The sequence below is a fragment of the Homo sapiens genome, chromosome 3 (assembly GCF_000001405.40).
Source record: "Homo sapiens chromosome 3, GRCh38.p14 Primary Assembly".
NCBI classification, from domain to species: Eukaryota; Metazoa; Chordata; class Mammalia; order Primates; family Hominidae; genus Homo; species Homo sapiens.
The window spans coordinates 168,656,216-168,677,068 of NC_000003.12; the positions used below are offsets into that span (position 1 = coordinate 168,656,216).

The window sequence follows — 20,853 nt, forward strand, 5'->3', positions numbered from 1 at the left end:
TTTTTATCATGTCAAAAAGAATCCCTATACATTTTAGGATCACTTCCCTCCACTCCCATCACTCCCATAACCCTAAGCAACCACAAATGTACTCTTTGTCTCTATAGATTTCTCTATACTTTTATATAAATGGAATTATATGATATGCAATGTTTTGTGACCGGCTTCTTTCAATTAGCATAGTGTTTTTAAGGTTCATCCATGTTGTATCAGTACTTCATTCCTTTTCATGGACAAATAATATTTCATTGTGTAGACATACCACTTTCTGTTTATCCATTTGTCAGTTGATGGACATTTGGGTTGTCTCCACCTTTTGGCTATTACGGCTAATGCTACTACAAACATTCATCTGCAAGTTTTGTGTGTAGATAAGTTTTATTTCTCTTGGGTGTATACCTAAGAGTTGAATTGCTGGATTATATGGTAACCATACATTTAATTCTTCTGAAGCTTTTAATTTAGATAAATAGAAAGATTTTAATACATAAATGTTCATATGTGTGTGCATATAAACACACTGTATCAAACAATTGGCTTCATGAAAAAGGGTCCATGGTCAAATAATTTTGGAGAGTACTACATGCTAAAGCTCTCTTAAATCAGGCAAAAGGGGAGCCATTTCACTTTGTTTAACACAAGTTTCCAAACATGTTTTTCAAACATGTTTGGAAATATTTTTTTTATTATTATTATACTTTAAGTTTTAGGGTACATGTGCACAATGTGCAGGTTAGTTACATATGTATACATGTGCCATGCTGGTGTGCTGCACCCATTAACGCATCATTTAGCATTAGGTATATCTCCTAGAGCTATCCCTCCCCCCTTCCCCCACCCCACAACAGTCCCCAGAGTGTGATGTTCCCCTTCCTGTGTCCATGTGTTCTCATTGTTCAATTCCCACCTATGAGTGAGAATATGCGGTGTTTGGTTTTTTTGTTCTTGTGATAGTTTACTGAGAATGATGATTTCCAATTTCATCCATGTCCCTACAAAGGACATGAACTCATCATTTTTTATGGCTGCATAGTATTCCATGGTGTATATGTGCCACATTTTCTTAATCCAGTCTATCATTTTTGGACATTTGGGTTGGTTCCAAGTCTTTGCTATTGTGAATAGTGCCACAATAAACATACGTATGCATGTGTCTTTATAGCAGCATGATTTATAGTCCTTTGGGTATATACCCAGTAATGGGATGGCTGAGTCAAATGGTATTTCTAGTTCTAGATCCCTGAGGAATCGCCACACTGACTTCCACAAGGGTTGAACTAGTTTACAGTCCCACCAACAGTGTAAAAGTGTTCCTATTTCTCCACATCCTCTCCAGCACCTGTTGTTTCCTGACTTTTTAATGATTGCCATTCTAAGTGGTGTGAGATGGTATCTCATTGTGGTTTTGATTTGCATTTCTCTGATGGCCATTGATGGTGAGCATTTTTTCATGTGTTTTTTGGCTGCATAAATGTCTTCTTTTGAGAAGTGTCTGTTCATGTCCTTCGCCCACTTTTTGATGGGGTTGTTTGTTTTTTTCTTGTAAATTTGTTTGAGTTCATTGTAGATTCTGGATATTAGCCCTTTGTCAGACAATACAGGGATGCCCTCTCTCACCACTCCTATTCAACATAGTGTTGGAAGTTCTGGCTAGGGCAATTAGGCAGAAGGAAATAAAGGGTATTCAATTAGGAAAAGAAGAAGTCAAATTGTCCCTGTTTGCAGATGACATGATTGTATATCTAGAAAACTCCATTGTCTCAGCCCAAAATCTCCTTAAGCTGATAAGCAACTTCAGCAAAGTCTCAGGATAGAAAATCAATGTACAAAAATCACAAGCATTTTTATACACCAATAACAGACAAACAGAGAGCCAAATCATGAGTGAACTCCCATTCACAATTGCTTCAAAGAGCATAAAATACCTAGGAATCCAACTTACAAGGGACGTGAAGGACCTCTTCAAGGAGAACTACAAACCACTGCTCAATGAAATAAAAGAGTTTACAAAGAAATGGATGAACATTCCATGTTCATGGATAGGAAGAATCAATATTGTGAAAATGGCCCTACTGCCCAAGGTAATTTATAGATTCAATGCCATCCCCATCAAGCTACCAATGCCTTTCTTCACAGAATTGGAAAAAACTACTTTAAAGTTCATATGGAACCAAAAAAGAGCCCACATCACCAAGTCAATCCTAAGCCAAAAGAACAAAGCTGGAGGCATCACACTACCTGACTTTAAACTATACTACAAGCTTACAGTAACCAAAACAGCATGGTACTGGTACCAAAACAGAGATATGGATCAATGGAACAGAACAGAGCCCTCAGAAATAATGCCACGTATCTACAACTATCTGATCTTTGACAAACCTGAGAAAAACAAGCAATGGGGAAAGGATTCCCTATTTAATAAATGGTGCTGGGAAAACTGGCTAGCCATATGTAGAAAGCTGAAACTGGATCCCTTCCTTACACTTTATACAAAAATTAATTCAAGATGGATTAAGGACTTAAACATTAGACCTAAAACCATAAAAACCCTAGAAGAAAACCTAGGCACTACCATTCAGGACATAGACATGGGCAAGGACTTCATGTCTAAAACACCAAAAGCAATGGCAACAAAAGCCAAAATTGACAAATGGGATCTAATTAAACTACAGAACTTCTGCACAGCAAAAGAAACTACCATCAGAGTGAACAGGCAACCTACAAAATGGGAGAAAATTTTCGCAACCTACTCATCTGGAAATTTTTTAAAAGCAAAATGTTTAAAATTCAAGGATTTAGTAGAGAGCATTTTGAGAAATGGCTTAATTGCATATTCTGGAAATAGAAAACTTATTGGATAGGGCAGAGAGTATATTCAGGGAACTAGTGGATGATTTATTGGGGCTAGACAGAGGACAGTTTCAACTCAATAGGTAAATCCCCTAGGTAAGTGGATAGGAATGTGGTTTCTGATGGAGGACATCTGAGTAGAGGAATAATAGGGTGGAAATGTGATTTCTGAAAGTTGTTCTGGGCATGAGTCATAGGATGTTATAGAAAGACAAAAAGACATGGAAATGACAGGGATACCATTTATGGGCCAGTGAAATTGCCTAGCTATTAATATCCATAAGTTGTATAAAGAGGGAAGAATCAGTTAATTCTGATGACACAATGGACCCAAGGGAAAGGGGACATATCAAAGTCTCTTTAAGTAAGATGATGATGAATAATAAATCTATTATCGATAGCAGAAATGCCAAATGCAGTATGTAGAATAAGTGCATCTTTAAAAGCACTAAACAGAAATATCACATTCCAACCAGATATATCTTATGAAATTTCCTGACATTATAGAAAAATGATTATATAAAAATGACGAAGACCTATTTATTCATCCTTTTTTATTTGAAAATTAGTACTTGATTTCTGTATGTGCCCTGCCATAGGTTTTGATGTTGCCATCTGGCAGAATCTGCTTATTATCTTCATTATGAACCTAGACTTTCTTTTTATGCTGGTGTCTATTTCCCATTAAATCAAAAGTTATGTCAATTTCAAATTAATGAGAAGTAAGTATAAAGATGGAAACTTCCCCTCAATATTACTATTTTTATGCTTTTGGAGCATAATATTTAGCACTGCTCAAATCTGGTTGTAAATAATTTCTTTCATTGATGAGATGAACTGTCTTTACTTTTTCTCCTGTTACTATATTTACTGTTTCCCTTTTGTTTGATGTCATTGGAAAATGAAATTGCCAGATGGTTTGCAAAGAGAAGTGAGCAACAACTCTTTTTTTAAAAAAAAGTTTCTTTATATACAAATAAGTAAGCAAGCAAACAAAAAAGTATGTTTGCTTAAAAAAAAGAAAGAAAAAAATTTTGCTTAAAAGATACACAGAGACACACTCAGAATCTCAGAGTGTTAATTAGATGCTCCTGTTTATATCAGGATGAATATGCCATATATGGGTAATAGTTCCTAAATTAGGTAAAAATGGGGATCTTGAGGAGCCACACATTGTCAGCATAACACACAGCATGAAGACAGCCCCCTGGCCAGCCTTTTTCTTTCAGTTATAGCTATTCAAGTCTTCATTTTTACAAGTAGTACTCTCTGATATCAAAACAGATTCACTCTTTTTGTCCGCATGACTTTAGGCAGTATGAAGATCACTAACGTAGGCATTATGAAACCTTAGTGATTTCAGATTCACCACCAAGTCTATAACCCAGAATATATCTCTTCACTTCTCTGGGCCTTAATTTGCCCATCTATAAAATGAGACATTAGGAATGGAACATCTTCAAAGTCTCTTTCAGGTTGTAAATGCCGTAATTCACAAGCGTAAATCTACAAATTTAAGTGTAATTCGAAAGCTGGAATTCTGTGCAAGAGGCCAGGAAAAGATTTTTAGAGGTTATAATGACCACATAAAAACTACTTTTCTGAACCTTATAGCTAACACAGAGAACCTATGGTATCTAGTAAGATATGAGATTATATCACATTAGAGGCTAGAAGAGAGCAAAGCAAAAGCAGCAATTAAATTTTATCACACATTACAGCAGCCGTGGATTCTACTTGGCCTTTTATGCACAGCTTTAAGGTAACCTTGTTTTCCATTTGGCTTTCTTTGTTTCTGTGTCTCTCCCAAAAACATTTCTTAGATTTCCCCAGTTCTATCCCAGTGTTAGACACCTACCTTGTATTCAATATATTCATGTTGACCTTATTGTCATCAATTATCCACATCAGTAGTCAGTTTAGAGGAGATTTTAGACAAGAAAATAAAACATTATATGTTTTCTCAAATAATTATTTGACTTCCTCATTTTTCAATTGAGAGGAATAGCTGCAGTCTCAAATACTTCTGCAAAAAATATATTCACATATTAATTTAAAGTGCTAGTTACAGGCTGGGCATGGTGCCTCACGCTTGTAATCCCAACACTTTGGAGGCTGAGGTGGGTGGATCACCTGATCAGGAGTTCGAGGCCAGCCTGACCAACATGGTGAAACCCCATCTCTACTAAAAATACAAAAAAAAAAAAAAAAAAAAAAGAAAGAAAATTAGCTGGGCATGGTGGTGGGTGCCTGTAATCCCAGCTACTTAGGGAGGCAGGAAAATCGCTTGAACCGGGAGGCAGAGGTTGCAGTGAGCCGAGATCACGCCATTGCACTCCAGCCTGGGCAACAAGAGTGAAACTCTGTCTCAAAAATAAATAAATAAATAAATAAATAAATAAATAAATAAATAAATAATAAAGTGCAAGTTAGGTTCTTTTTTGCCCAATAAAATGGTTTACATTTGCTGTGCTGGTTCTCAGAAAATAAATTTTAAATGATAAAAATTTACATGATTTTGTGTGATATATGATATTTATTTTAACAGAACTGCTTATACAAATTTTATCCTTGGATTTCTATATATACTTCACACACTCTGATAATTAAGTTCGTAGTTATCATAGATTATTAAGCTTATCAGAACAGAGATGTAGCAATTATAGTTTTAAGGGATTGGTGCTTTTTAAAATGTTGTTCTTCATAGGTCTTTTCTAATGTGTATGTGATACTGGCCTAAGTGAGAGAGCCAGTAGGCCAAGCTCAAGAATTTGGAGAAAGAAAGAAAATTAGATGTCTTTTAAAATTCAACACAAAATCAAGTGGAGAAAAATCAGGAGAATTAATTCTGTTCTCAGAGAGGCTTAAAGAGCCTGACTATAATCTGATGGTATTCATAGAGCTTAAGAAGGATCCTGGCAATCAAGTGTGGTCAGATACAGAGATGTACAAAGAGAAAAAACCACCCAGGAATGCCCAGGAAAGATGAAGCCTTAACCAACAGACTTTGAGAATCCCTGTCCTATGTGCAAATGAATATGTTAGGCTACTTTATCCCATTAAACAGCAAGTTTCATCTCATTGATTCCATTTGTTAGATCTCTGTGATAGCTTATATTATAGTTCCTGCATCAGTCTGGGTCCAATCAGGAGAGAAAGAACTGCACAGTAATTTGAACATGGGAAGTTTAATATAAAGAATTAACTATAACAGGAGGTTGGAGTAATAAGGAACTGGCCTATAAGAAATAAAGAGAATGCTAAAAAATACAGGATTTCAACTACTACCTTCTAGGGGTGAACTGATTCCATTTCACCCAAAGAAGAGACTCCCCCAGGGCTGAGATCCAGACCTAGTTAGAAAGGTTGCAACCACGGTTCACTGAATGGCAGAGAGGTCACTGTGTTGCCACACCAGCAGGACTTGAAAATCGGGCTTCTTGAACTTGCCAGAAATCTACAGTCTAGGAGGTGGGAGAAAACTGTTCAAGGTAAATTATCTTTTGCCCAAGGGGAGAGTCGGGAAGTTGCTGGTCATTGGATGCTGCTGGCCACCCGTGACTGCACAAGTCAGGTGCTAAAGAAACTACATGTGCTGCAGGAGCCCAGCACCAGAGAAGCTGCCGCGTTGTAGAAGATGGGTTTGAAGAAGCTATGTGCAAAGTAGCAACCTAGCTGTAAACCCTAGAAGCCACCACACTGCCGGCGAATAGTGCTGGAGAAAGGGCCTTCCAAAGGCTGGAGAAGGCATTTCAAAGGCTAGGTGCTGGGAAAGTTGGACACATTGAGAAAACCAGTTGCTGGAGAAGATACCTGAACTATGGGAGCCAGACACTGAAAAGGCTACACAGGCTCCAAGAGCCGGACTAGAGAAGTCGTCTGCTTTAGGGGAGCCAGGAACAAGAGAAGCTGCATCAGGAGCCTGTCTAGAAAAGTACACTGGAGCCAGGAAGGATGATGCTTACTCTACAATGTCTTTCCGTTGTCCTTTACTGGCAAGTTTTAACATAGTGCCTGCTGACAAAGGGAAATTAAAGGGCCCAGATCCATTTTCACAGTGAAGGCAAAAATAATGAACTTGGAGATAGGAGGCAATTAATCAACAATAAGCACAGTTCCCAGCTATGCTTCCTGTGCTCCATAAGAGACGTATAAAAATGTGTCCTTCATCCCTTATAAATACATGTAGATTTGAGTACTCCCCTGAAGGCAAAGGTATTTCTCCCATCCATTGGTTGACTTGGGCTTATGACTTGGTTGGGTCAATAGCATAGCAATTAATGTGATATAGCACCAGTTCTGAGCAGATGTTTTAAACGTGAGTCCATAGGTTAGCATGAACTCTTCCATCTTTGCCCTGTGCCATAAAGAAAGCAAGTCCCAGACAGAGTCTACTCTTTTATCTGGGTCCTAGAATGATGTACAGAGCTGAGTAGAGCGACAGCCAACCTGAGACCTCTAAGCAAGGAAGATATTGGTGGTTGTATGCCCCTTAGCCTTTGGGTTGTTATTACAACAAAAGCCAACTAATGCAGTTTCTATGCTTGACAACCAACTTTCCGATTTCTGTTTGGCTAATCATGATAATGCAGCATTAAGACCTATAAACCATTAGGTCATTTTCTGATTTTACTTATTCGTCTGCAGCAAGGAGATAAAATGAAGTGACAAGGCCCCCTTAGATTGAAGAGAATTCATCATAGTCATTTCATCCTGAGAGAAGTCTTCAGTGGCAGCTAGCCAGAACTTCCCAGATGACATCTCAGACTTGCCTGAGTATAAATCATTGGGTGGAAGATTAGAGATGGAAAAGTTATTGTCAATAGTTTCTTTAAGGTATAGGGCCTCTCTACATGGCTGTTGTTCTTCTCTTTGCCGGTTTTCATGATTTGCTGCAAAGATTATAATTTATTTCATTTTATCTGGTCTTTATCAAATGTCCCCTAATCATTTGGGACACTGGGTTGTTGTCTAAAGTTTATCTTTAGAAACTGCTGTTCTTGATGAGACTTGGTAGACTTCTACACAACTTTCTGTGGAAGAAAATTGTTTTTGATAATAGTGTTATATAAATTCTTCTTCAGCGGTCACTATAGTCTAACAACACATAGTTCATATTAACATAGGCTTTCTTTTCACTCATTGATTTATTAGGAGAAAATAATTTTCTAACTCACTATTATAATATTCATTATAACTATAATTGGTATTATAATTATTATTATATTTGGTAATCTTGGAGCATCCCCAACTGGCCACACACACATATACACATAAAGAAGTCTGAGGCTAGATATTTCAGCCTTTATTGAGCTGAAAAATCATACTGCTGTTCAAAAAGATTTTTTTCAATTAAAATCAAAAGTAAGAATTTACTTCCTATGATCACTAAATAATTAAAAGCATAGGTCAAATATTAGCATGTATATAAGATATACGTTTAAGAAAAGAAACAGTGCTAATACTTTGAGTGCTAGGACTATTACTTCCTGTAGATATTCAAAAATATTGACTAGAGTTTTTAAACCCTCCTTCTGCAGTAATGATCAGTCCTGGAACTAATTTAATTTGGGCACGTGCATGAAAAGAAACATGAGGAGATAGAAAATAGCCACAGAATCTAGTCCAGTCTCTGCTACTGTACATGGAGAATCTTAGTTTTCTCATCTCTAAAAAGGGAATAATCACATATGCCCAAACAAACTTAAGGATTTTTTTTTTTTTTTTTTTTTTTTTGAGACAGAGTCTTGCTCTGTCACCCAGGCTGGAGTGCAGTGGTGCGATCTCAGCTCACTGCAAGCTCTGCCTCCCAGGTTCATGCCATTCTCCTGCCTCAGCCTCCCTAGTTGCTGGGACTACAGGCGCCTGCCATGAAGCCTGGCTAATTTTTTGTATTTTTAGTAGAGACAGGGTTTCACTGTGTTAGCCAGGATTGTCTCGATCTCCTGACCTCGTGATCTGCCTCCCAAAGTGCAGGGATTACAGGCGTGAGATGGGATTTTTTTGAGAATAAACTGAGTGTCACGGTGAAAAGGAGATGTCAATAGCAAAGGTCTTTGCAAATGTGAAATTTTTTGATGCCCTGAAATAATTGGTTGATGGTATGTTAATGTCTTCCTAAATGCCATTGAACCTGGAACCTAGCCAAGGGAATAATCAGAGGAGTGATCTTCAAAATATATCTTACTACAGAAAAAGCAGAAGATATTAGGACAGATCTTGAAGTTTAGGGTGGGTAGAAATGTAATTTCTCCTTCTGAAGTCATTAATAACCTGATTGTAACTTCGACTATCAGAACGTATGATATTCCCCAACTCCTATTTAAAAAAAAGGAATGTGATCACACAGTAGAGAAATTTACTATGGGAAAGCTCCTTAACAACCACGTGGTATTATCATTTAAAAGTGGAAGGGATAGAATGATGGGAGAGACGCTTAATGGCAGGTTGGAGGTGGGGAGACAGGGATGGAGGGAATATAACCAGCTCACAACCATCTTCTCTCTGAACTTTTCTGGACTTTTTTTTCTCTAGTGTATAGTGAAAGTTTAATCCTTTTGTTTCCCTGTGATCCCAGAACTCTTTGAACAAACTTACTATTAGAACTTCAGATGGTGTATTACATTTATCTGTTAAATTGTCTTTCTCATCAGACTATAGATGTCTTGAAGGTGAGGATCATTCCTTAATTGTGTAGTAGCCCAGACTGCTGCCTTGCACAAGACCTGGCATGTAGTAGATTTATACTGAGTGGTATGTGAAAGGATGAATGGGCACAAAATAGATCAGAGTAAAGCCATTGGAAGAGATGGGATTTGGTAAGGTTTTAATCAAGTATTTCACTTCTTAAATACTAAGGAAGTATTCTCAGAATTCAGCACAATACAAATTTTATATTAAATTTTAATTTAAAAATTAGTCTGTAGACATGATTGAAATATTCTCTCAGGAGACTCCTGGAAAACATGATTAACTTCCCTTTCCTTTCTTTTTCTTTTTCTTTTTTTTTTTTTTTTTTTTTTTTTTTTTTTTTTGACGTTGTCTTACTCTGCACCCAGGTTGAAGGGCAGTGGCACGATCTTGGCTCACTGCAGCCTTCGCCTCCCAGGCTCAAGGGATCCTCCCACCTCAGCCTCCAGAGTAGCTGGGACCACAGGTGCCTGCCACTACGCCTGGCTAATTGTTTGTATTTTTGGTAGAGATGGGTTTTTCACATGTTGCCCAGTCTGGTCCAAATTCCTGAGCTCAAGCAATCCACCTGCCTCTGCCTCCTGAAGTGCTAGGATTACAGGCGTGAGCCACCATGCCCAGCAAGCATAATTAATTTCTAATGTCTGAGTTCCTAAGTTTAAGTTTATGCATTCTTAAAAATAGACCTAAAACAACTATGATATTCTGCTTCAGAAGATAATAGTAGCTTTCCTTGCTACCCAGAGAGGGGCCCATACCGCATTGTTCTGGATTCCCATTGTAATTAAAGGGAAACTTTCACCATGTCCAGAGTCTTTAATGTCCTGCAAATGAAGAAGGATGTCCTCAAATTCCTTGCAGCAGAAACCCACTTAGATGGCACCAACCTGACTTTCAAATGCAACAGTACATTTCCAAAAAGAAAAGCGATGGCATCTATACCATAAATCTGAAGAAGACCTGGGAGAAGCTTCTGCTGGCAGCTCGTGCCATTGTTGCCATTAACAACAGATATCAGTGTCATGTCCTCAGGGAATACTGGCCAGTGGGCTGTGGAGAAGTTTGCTGCTGCCACTGGAGCCACTCCTGTTGCTGATGGCTCTATTTCTGGAACCTTTACTATCCAAATCCAGGCAGCCTTCTGGGAGCCATGTCTTCTGGTGCTTACTGATCCCAGAGCTGACCACCAGCCCCTCACAGAAGCATGTTATGTTAACATACCTACCATTGCTCTGTGTAACACAGATTCTTCTCTGCACTGTGTGGACATTGCCATCCAAGCAACAACAAGGGAACTCATTGAGTGGGTCTGATATGGTGGGTGCTGGCCTGGAAGTTCTGTGCATGTGTGGCACCGTCTCCTGTGAACACCCATGGAAGGTCATGTCTGATTTCTACTTCTGCAAAGACCCTTAAAAGGAAGGGCAGTCTGCTTCTGAGAAAGCTGTAACCAAGGAGGAATTTCAGGGTGAAAGGACTGCTCCAGCTCCTGAGTTTACTGCTCCTCAACCTGAGGTTGCAGTCTGGTTTGAAGGCATGCAGATGCCTTCTGTGCCTATTCAGCAGTTCCCTATTGAAGACCATAACACAGCCTACCATGGAAAATTGGTCTGCAGCTGCCACTGCTTAGGCCACTGAATGGGTAGAAACAACCACTGAATGTCTTAAGCCATTTTTCTACAGACTTTTAAACAAGATGGAAATCAGGTTGATGAAAAATAAACATCAGTTCCTAAAACTAAACAAAACAATAATTGTTTTTGAAAAAGGAATGTATTTTTAGGTGGGAATGGGATGGGGGAGTAAGTGTTATGAAAGTCAGAAGCATATGCCTGGCACATAAACCTAAAAGCATAGGAATCTTTGTCATAACATACAGGATATTGCAATTATTTTGTTAAAAAACCCAGAAAGTTAAGAAAATTGAACATATTCTAAATTACAATGGCATTAACTTCTTTTTTTTCTTAAGATATCTTAAAGAAGGTGTGGAACTCGCAGACATTTTCTGGTAGTTTTGAGCGGACTAATCTATTATAACTATTATGTATATAATATTTATATTATATAAAATATAAATATTATATATTTATAATTATATAACTATAACCTACTATAACTATTATATATAAATGGGTCATCTCGTTCCTAATACTGAGCATCAAAAATGTGTGTATGTAATCCTTGAATGCGCTTAAAGGAAATATCAGGAGGAATGCCACATCAGCCAGGTTGTATGGATTTGACTTTCTATGGAAAGTTTTGGCATGGTAAATCTTACTTTGTCCATTACCTTACCTGCTATGTGATATGAATTCTTTGCCTGCTAATCACAAATCTCAAGATCTGGGAAAATGGAGCTCCCTAGAACAGGCTATATATTTTTTATTGCCATCTCGAATCAAACTGATGCCGTTTTTCATGGGAGAACTAATAAAAGTCATATTCTGTATTGAAACATCCCTGTATTTTATGGACCCATCTGATATACCATTAATAAAGTTTTAAAACAATCTATAATAGATTTTGCAAGAACCGCAGATCTGCCAGCACTCTCATTAACAGCCCAATTTTAAGCACTACTTTAGGCATGATTATCTACAAAATGTTAGTGGGGCTGTTTAATATTAAAAGACTAGTAGCTGAAGAAAAAGGAAGCTCAATTACTCAAAAATCCAGTTAGATTGCTATTTCGAGTAATTTAACAAACAAAATTGCATTTTGTTCTGTTTTCAAAGTATGGGCTTGTATTCATTTCCTGGAATATGAAGTTCATTGAAAATGCCAGTGTTTCTAAGTGATTCTGTATGAGAGGAGTTGATAAAAATAAAAATACCCTTTGGCTTGTTAAAACACAAATGTTTTACGAATGACACCTTGCTCAATAGTGTTTCCTCGAATGACTATATTCTATAAAATAAAAAAGCCAGAGCCTCTGGCCTACATGATGTTCACAGAAAAGACAATGAGCAAAATCATCACCTGTGATTTTCTTAGATATGTAATTGTCTTTTTTCCATTGGCTTCTTTATCAGGGAGGATATCCTTTGTGCCTCAGACCTGTTTACAAAGGTATTTACTTACCTAGACTTTCATGCCTTAATAATAAATGTTAACAAATTTAAACATAAGGTAATAATCAAAAAGAATAAAATAGTTACTTATATACAGATGAAAAATTGTCTACACTATATTAACCCTTGCGTGTATGTGTGTGTTAGAACTGGTATTTTAAGGTATCTGGATAAATTCATAGGAAGTTATTAACAGTATTATAACCTCTGTGTCTGGGAAAATATGAGGGGGTCATTAAAAGGGGGAGACTTTTATTTTCAGTTGTTTCTTCTCTGCACTGTTTATACTTTTTTCTTACCTTGAACATGGGATACATTTATAATAAAAACAAAATATTTTCAAAATGGCACTATTGTGCTTTCTCAAATTTTAACATTATTTTACATCCAGTAAAACTATTCAAAGAGAAAAATTTGATAAAATATATACTTGTTAAATTTAAAACGTGCAAGAATGTTTTATTATTAGCTATGATGAAAGAAAACCAGGCTATGGTAATTAGACCACTAGCATTCATAGTAAATTTTTTTTAAATATACACAAAAAGACTTCACATACTTGCTACTAGTCATCCTTCTCTACTAAACATATTAGTGGAATACTAGTTAATATTCATTCTTTGTTATATAGCTTAAACATCTAACACCAGATTGGCAGTAAATTTGGCAACATTCTTAGTTTTTAGTTTACAATTTAAGTCATGATAGCCATTTTGGATCAAATATTAGTACTTAGAATTACAGAACTGAAATTAGCATCAATAATATATTCTTGTTCATTTTATTATACCAAATCACATGTCTGACTTCTAAATGTATTTGTTCATTATGATTTCTCTAAAATTATTTTAAGTTTCCAAAGACCATTAGGCCAGAGGTAGGTTAAAGTAAGAAACATATCATATTTGAAATTATCTCTCTGTCTCTTTCCATTCACTGTTCTCTTGTTTTATCCCTAATGATTATCTAATCCTTCATGAGAGAAGGGGGACAAAATGAGATAAAATAACATCCTGGGCTCATGGGTACAATTCAATAAGGGACAGGTTTCCCTGTAGTATTCTTGGAAGAATTACTTACTTACTCAGACAGCAATGAGCTACCTGGTCTCCTCACCAAGTAAAGTAATAATTACAGGACCTGTTTTTTGACTTTGATATATCTGTTTCCTTTTTTGGATATTACTCCCAGGCTGTTAATTGCAACTGTTATATTTCAAGCACTGGCTTATATGGTATCTCCATATGCCAAGTAGGACCTGGACTTTTCAAATTATGCTTTATGCACGGCTCACTCCTGCTTGTTATAGTGAAGATATCCTCTATGATTAAGCCTACAATGTCTTTTTAAAAAAATTGTTGCTCAGTTCATGCTAATTATAGTTTGCTATTTTAAATATAATGGAGTCAAAACGTTTCTTTTCAGACTAATGAGGCATCAGACAATTTGGGGATTTATCTCTATATATAGGTTGTTGTTCTTTTTCTAAAGCCAGAGAAAAGTAATTTAGAATCATTTAGGAGGATCTATCACCTGATTTATAATTTGGAACCACTTATTCCCAAGTATTGGTATTATTATTTCTTTTTAAGTAACTGAGGACATAACCCAACTTTTCTAGGCATACCCTGACTTAATGTGAGCTTTCTCTTTTTAATGAAGTCAATTTATTAAGGGTGTTACTAAGTATATATATATTTTTATAACATTTTTATATGAATACATTTATAAATAAAACATTGTTGATTAATGTTTCTCAAAATTTGGTTCAGGAAATATTCTTATTTTCTTTCTGGAAAGTAAATAATATGAAATATAATAATAATAAAATAATTTTAGAGATTTAATGGCATAAAATCCTGCTTTTTACGGTGAGGTTGGTGAGATGACAGGTTAAGCCTGCCTAGGTAGCTGCTTGGAGTTTCTTGGCCTGGCTAAAAATTGAAGTCTGTTCTTATCTTTGCTAAGGTTTGGAGAACTAGTTGGCAATTCCCTATTACAGTCAGATATTGCTAGAGGAAATTCTGGGTCTCATGGCTGGGTGGAACTTGAAGGACAGTTGCAATGATTCAAGTAGTATCCCTGTACACTTTTGCATAGGTGCACTTAGGCCAGGTGAGTACCAGGATCACCGAATAGAATAATTGTAATGATATAGGAGTTAAGAAGAAATGATTTAGGCAGATAGTGAAGGTAAGGAAGTCCTCAGTAAGGTTTTACTTTTAATAAAAAGCAGCCTCCAAATCATTTCTTTTATAACAAAAAGCAGTGTGTAAAATAAACCTGCAGACATAGACAAGCAAGCTTCTAGCTTGCTTGAATGCTGGCAGCTGTGCCAATAGGAAAGGCTAACTGGGACTAGGCATGTCCAACATGGTGGCGCCATTGTCCCCTTTCCTTGTCAACCACATGCACAGTAAGGAGCAGGCAACATGGCAGATGGCCAAGTAGAGATTTTATTTGCGTAATAAAAGATTAGGGTAGGGTGACCAGCTTCCTCGCATACTATGTAAACATCAAACCTGGTCCAACCAATCTTTGGGCCCTATGTAAATCTGACACGGCCTTCTCAAGCCTGTCTATAAAATCCTGTGCACTCTTCCTTGGGGCCGGAGGCCCCATTCAGGTGCACTTCTCTCTCCCAGGAGAGAAAGCTATTCTTTTTTTTTTTCTTTTGACTATTAAACCTCCGCTCCTAAACCCATTTCTCATGTGTCCATGTCCTTGATTCCCTTGGAGTGAGACAACAAACCTTGGGAATTTACCATAGACAAGGACACCGCTCCACTTAAACTGATTGCCTAAACTAGGACACTTTGGAGAATAAAGGGAGGAGAAGGGAGGTGCTTAAATAATTAAAATTTTATAGTTATAAATATTGTAACATAAAAAATTATTACATTCCATAAAACAAATATTTCTGATTTATCACTTAGGATAAATGAAAACATCAGTGCAGCAAGGACATTCATACCATTCTGTGTGCCCTGTAGCAGGACTTCTCAGCTTCCCACAAATGAGGGTATAATTTCCTAATTATCCACTGTCCCTGTCAACTAATGGCAAAAGGACTATTGGAGCTAATCTTCTCTAGATTTCCTGAGGACAAATTGACCATAGCTAATATATGGGTGATATCTCTACTTCGTGGAACTGTTGGGAAGGTTACATTGAATGGGAAAATGTATGGAAGATGCCTACTCTTCTGACACTCCTAGTGCCCCAACGTTTGCTTCCTTCTTCCTTCCATTTCTTCCTTTCTTTATTTTATTTTATTTTTTTTTTTTGGAGATGGAGTTTCGCTCTTGTTGTCCAGGGCTGGAGAGAAATGGCGTGATCTCCACTGACTGCAACCTCCACCTCCACGGTTCAAGCAATTCTCCTGCCTCAGCCTCCCAAGTAGCTGGGATTACAGGCATGCACCACCATGCCTGGCTAATTTTGTATTTTTAGTAGACACAGAGTTTCTCCATGTTGGTCAGGCTGGTCTCGAACTCCCAACCTCAGGTGATCCGCCCACCTCAGCCTCCCAAAGTGCTGGCATTACAGACGTGAGCAATCACACCTGGCCTGCTTCCTTTCATTTCTTTTTCCATCACTCACTGCACACTCACATAAAATCTACACAAGACTCAATCTTATTTTTATTATAGTTAGGGGTTCACATGTTTGTCTTATTAGACTCAGCATTCCTTGAGTACAGCGTCCTTTCCATACATCTGTATACTACCTAAGGTCCAACAAATTGCTGGCTCATAGAAAATAAATATTGGCCGATTGAATGTTTCTGATTCTGCCCAAGGAAGAGTCTGCTTTCCAGCCCATCAGAGGAGCGCAAGTCTCACTGGGCTTGTTCAGCTTGATGGCAGTAAAGGCTCATGACTTTCTTTGTTCATAGTGCAAAGTCTACTTTCCCATCTATAATTTGATTTCTTGAATAGATCTACTCACCAGGAACATGATTCACTGTGAAAAAAGAACAGTCCAAGGTTTTTTACCCACTAATATATCCATAAATAGGAATTCAGTTGAACCTGTGTGGGTTTGGTTCATCAGACCCTTTATGTGAACCAAATATTATTCAAACCTCTGACTCCACCATAGTGATTGAAAACATGAAGCAAAAAGATCAGGGCCAGTGTATCTGAGGCCAAGCCATGCACTTAAGTCAGCCTGCACATTATGACTAGACACGTGTACATTCTTTCACAAGTTGAAATAACGATGCCATGATGTGTCTTTACTTTTCAAGGAGATAATTCGTTTTTGCTGAATTTTACTTTTTTTCTGTTCTTCAGCCATTTTTCTCCCCATGTTTTTATAGTAATGTAAATAAATTGTTAAATAACACTTCATTATTGACATAATCTACCATGTAAGGAAAGAGGTTTTATTCCTGCTTCTACTTCTGAGGAAAAGAGGACTCAGAAAGATTAAAATTTTCTTATGGTCAATAACTTATGGCACCACAGTTTGTTTTTTACTCCAAATCTAGTACTCTTTCTACAATGACACCTACCCCATAAACATCTTGTGCAAAGATATTTATAATATCTCCAATGAAGAATTTACATTGAAAATGTGTTAGCTTATATACCAGAAATGCTTTTAAAAAATGTATAATAAAAATGTGATAAGAATTGTGTGGGAGATAATTCAATTGCCCTTGCTTTATATAATTATTGTCTATTTTTTATGTGCATGACCTAGATCCTAGGTTTGTTGGATATTTTTAATTGTATGTTACAAACTGACTTCAACTCTGTTTACAATTTTTTAGGCTGTTTGATTGGTTTATTGGCCATGGCTGATGTTTGCAGATACTCTGAATGGGGAATCATTGAAAGGTTTTATTAGCAGTTTATTTTAACAGCGCAAGCTGTTCATCAGAAAAAATAGCACAAATGCATTTGAATGTTGGTCTCCAGGCAGCAAAGCGTATCCTTCCACCCAGCTTCCTAAAAGACCTACTAGGAAACTTGGTGCCACCCACACCCATTTCTTAGGGGCTCTGATTTAGTGTTGCAGTTTTTTTCTCTAAACAGACGTGGGTGAAAGCTAGCCAGTGAAAGACTTAAGGGAACCATTATATCTATAACAGTGGATTAGAAAATATTAATAGTAATCAAAGGAAAATAGAAATAGCAATCGATTTTTCATTATTGATTTAAAAAAAATTTTTCCTGCTCCTTGGAATCTGTGTTTAGAGAACCCTGACTTATCCTCTTAGAGCAATATGGACTTCCTTTTTTGATGGTTTTTTGTTGTTGTTGTTGCTTCTTCACTTTCTCATTTCTTCATATTTTTTTCTTGCCTCTGTAAAATATTGTTAAAACCATGGATCAAAATATACATTGTTAAATGTGTCTTTTTGCCTTAAAATCCTTTTTACACTTATAAAAGAATATATGTTTCTTATATAATTCTTAGAAAATAGATATTTTGGGGAATTATTGTAATGTGAGTTCCCATATTAAGCTCTTTTATTCTGTCCAGAGATATGTTAGTGGTAAGTAAAATATATTTTTAAAATTAGGTTTAAAAAGCCAAACTAAAAAAATTAAGATTAAAAAAAAGACTTTTTCATGTTACAAAAAAAGCAACAGAATCACGGAGTTGTAAGTGGATGTGGACGGACATAGCTAAAATCTCAGATATTTTGGGCTCCATTTCTGGAAAGAGTCAAGGCATAAAAACTCCTAACAGAGACTTAAAGAACCCCACATATGGTAGATATGTTAGTTTTCTAGAGTTGCCAAAATAAAGGCTTAAACAACCGAAATTTATTGTTTCATCATTCTGGTGGATAGAAGTCTGAGATCAAAGTTCCAGAAGGGCCATGCTCCTGAAGGTGCTATGGAAGGATCTGTTCCAGGCCTCTTCCCTAGCTTCTGGTGTTGTGCTGGCAATCTGTGCTGAATGTTGGCTTGCAGAAACATCACCCCAATCTCTGACTTCATTATTATGTGGCGTTCTCCCTGTGTGAGTGTCTTTCTCTTCACATGGTGTTCTTTTTCGAAGGACAGCAGACTTATTAGATTAGGAACTCATTTTGCTTCCATATGACCTAATCCTAACTAATTACATCTGCAATGACACTTTTTCCAAATAATGTCACCTTATGGGATACTAGAGGTTAGAACTTCAATGTATAAATTTGTGGGGGACACAGTTCAACCCAAAACGTCAGGGTACCAGGGCAGAACTCACTGCAGGGAATTAGGGGCTAGGAAAGGAGGCTGACTTAAGCTGTTTGTTCTAATTTGCATACATTGGATGGCGAGAAGGACTCAGAACCAGGCCAAACCACCCGATTGTTCCAAGACAGTCTGTGTTAGTTCCATTTTCTGGAATGCATAGGCCTCATGCAATACCTCTCCTAGAGAGTCCAGATGCAGGCAGCTGCAAAATGATAGAAGGGAGGAATGAATTCAGAGAGAGAGCAGAAGAAAAAAAAATGCTTTTATGCAAATCGAAGTTGCCAACTAAAATTCTAAGGCACATAGAAAACAATCAATGCCAGCTGGGCGCGGTGGCTCATGCCTGTAATCCCAGCACTTTGGGAGGCCGAGGCAGGTGGATCACCTGAGTTCAGGAGTTTGACACCAGCCTGACCAACATGGTGAAACCCTGTCTCTATTAACATACAAAAATTAGCTGGGTGTGGTTGCGGTACCTGTAATCCCAGCTACTCAGGAGGCTGAGGCAGGAGAATCGCTTGAACCCGGGAGGCGGAGGTTGCAGTGAGCCGAGATCATGCCATTGCACTCCAGCCTGGGCAACAAAAGCGAAACTCCGTCCCAAAAAAACAAAAAACAAAACAAACAAACAAACAAAAAAACAATCAATGCCAAGGAAAAAAGCTTAAAAAAGAAACCCTCAACATTAGAAGATGAACTTAGTTTCATCAACAAGTGAATAATAGTAATAAATGGCTTGTAATTAACTACGGTCAAAATCATCAAAAAGACAGAAAAAGGAATACTAAAAATTTAATGAAACAAAAACTGGCAACTGTGAATCGAAAATGAGGAGGCATCAAAAGTGTCAAAATTGTGCATATAGGTATTGATATAACTTAAGAAAGAATTAGCAAAAGATAATGCTGAGGATTTCATTTATAGCACACAGCCAAATTATATAGAGATAAAAATATGGAAGAAGAGTTAAGCTACACAGATGATCTACTGAGGGGTTACAGTACATGGGTATTAGGAGTCTCAGAAACAGGAGAAATGGCAAAGAAGGAATGTTTGGAGAGAGGACAGCTAAAAATGTTTTTTTTTTTTCAGAATTAGAGAAAGATATATACTTTCAGATTAGAAGTGAAGATTAACTGTTATAGAGGTAATTAAAGCCATACCACCTCTAGTGAAACCTCAGAACATCAGGAATAAAGAAAAAATTCTAAAATCAGCAAGGCTGAAAAGACAGAATGCCTAAAATGCCATAGTTTTTTTTATAGTAGAATCTAGAAAACAACTGGAGCAATATCTTTAAAGTGGTGAAGAATACACAGTTGATGCTCATCATTTGTGAGTTCTGTACCAGGAGACTGCAAAAAATCCAACCCCTTAAGAACAATAGTTAAAACGTCATCCAGGAATTAAAGTATGCTTCCATTTTTTGTAAATTTTTGTTCACTGAAACATAAAGTGATTTTTTAAAATGTTAGGTAATTTATTTAATGGCACATTTTAAATCTTTATATTCCTAATTGATCGTAGTATTTTTATTTTAATTTCCATAGTTTACTGGGAGAACAGGTAGTGTTTGGTGACATGAGTAAGTTCTTTAGTGGTGATGTTTGAGATTTTGGTGCACCCATCATCCGAGCAGTATACATTGCACCATATTTGTAGTCTTTTATCCCTCACCCTTTCCCACCCTTTCCCCCTGAGTCCCCAAAGTCCATTGTCATTCTTATGCTTCTGCATCCTCATAACTTAGCTCCCACTTATGAGTAAGAAAATACAATATTTGGTTTACCATTCCTGAGTTACTTCACTTAGAATAATAGTCTCCAATCTCATCCAGGTCTCTCCAGATGCCATTAATTCATTCCTTTTTATGGCCGAGTAGTATTTCATCCTGTGTATATATACCAGAGTTTCTTTATCCACTCATTGATTGATGGGCATTTGGTTAGTTCCACATTTTTGCAATTGCAAACTGTGCTGCTATAAATATGTGTGTGCAAGTATCTTTTCCATGTAATGACTTCTTTGATTTTTTTAAA

The 20,853-nt window shown here is 37.0% G+C and overlaps 2 pseudogenes across 1 annotated transcript in view; both read left to right on the plus strand.

Annotated features, from left to right (window-relative positions):
* Positions 1–20,853, plus strand: part of EGFEM1P (EGF like and EMI domain containing 1, pseudogene) — a 581,078-nt pseudogene that overhangs the window by 406,694 nt on the left and 153,531 nt on the right. The window lies entirely within an intron of this gene.
* RPSAP33 (ribosomal protein SA pseudogene 33) lies at positions 10,269–11,156 on the plus strand (annotated as a pseudogene).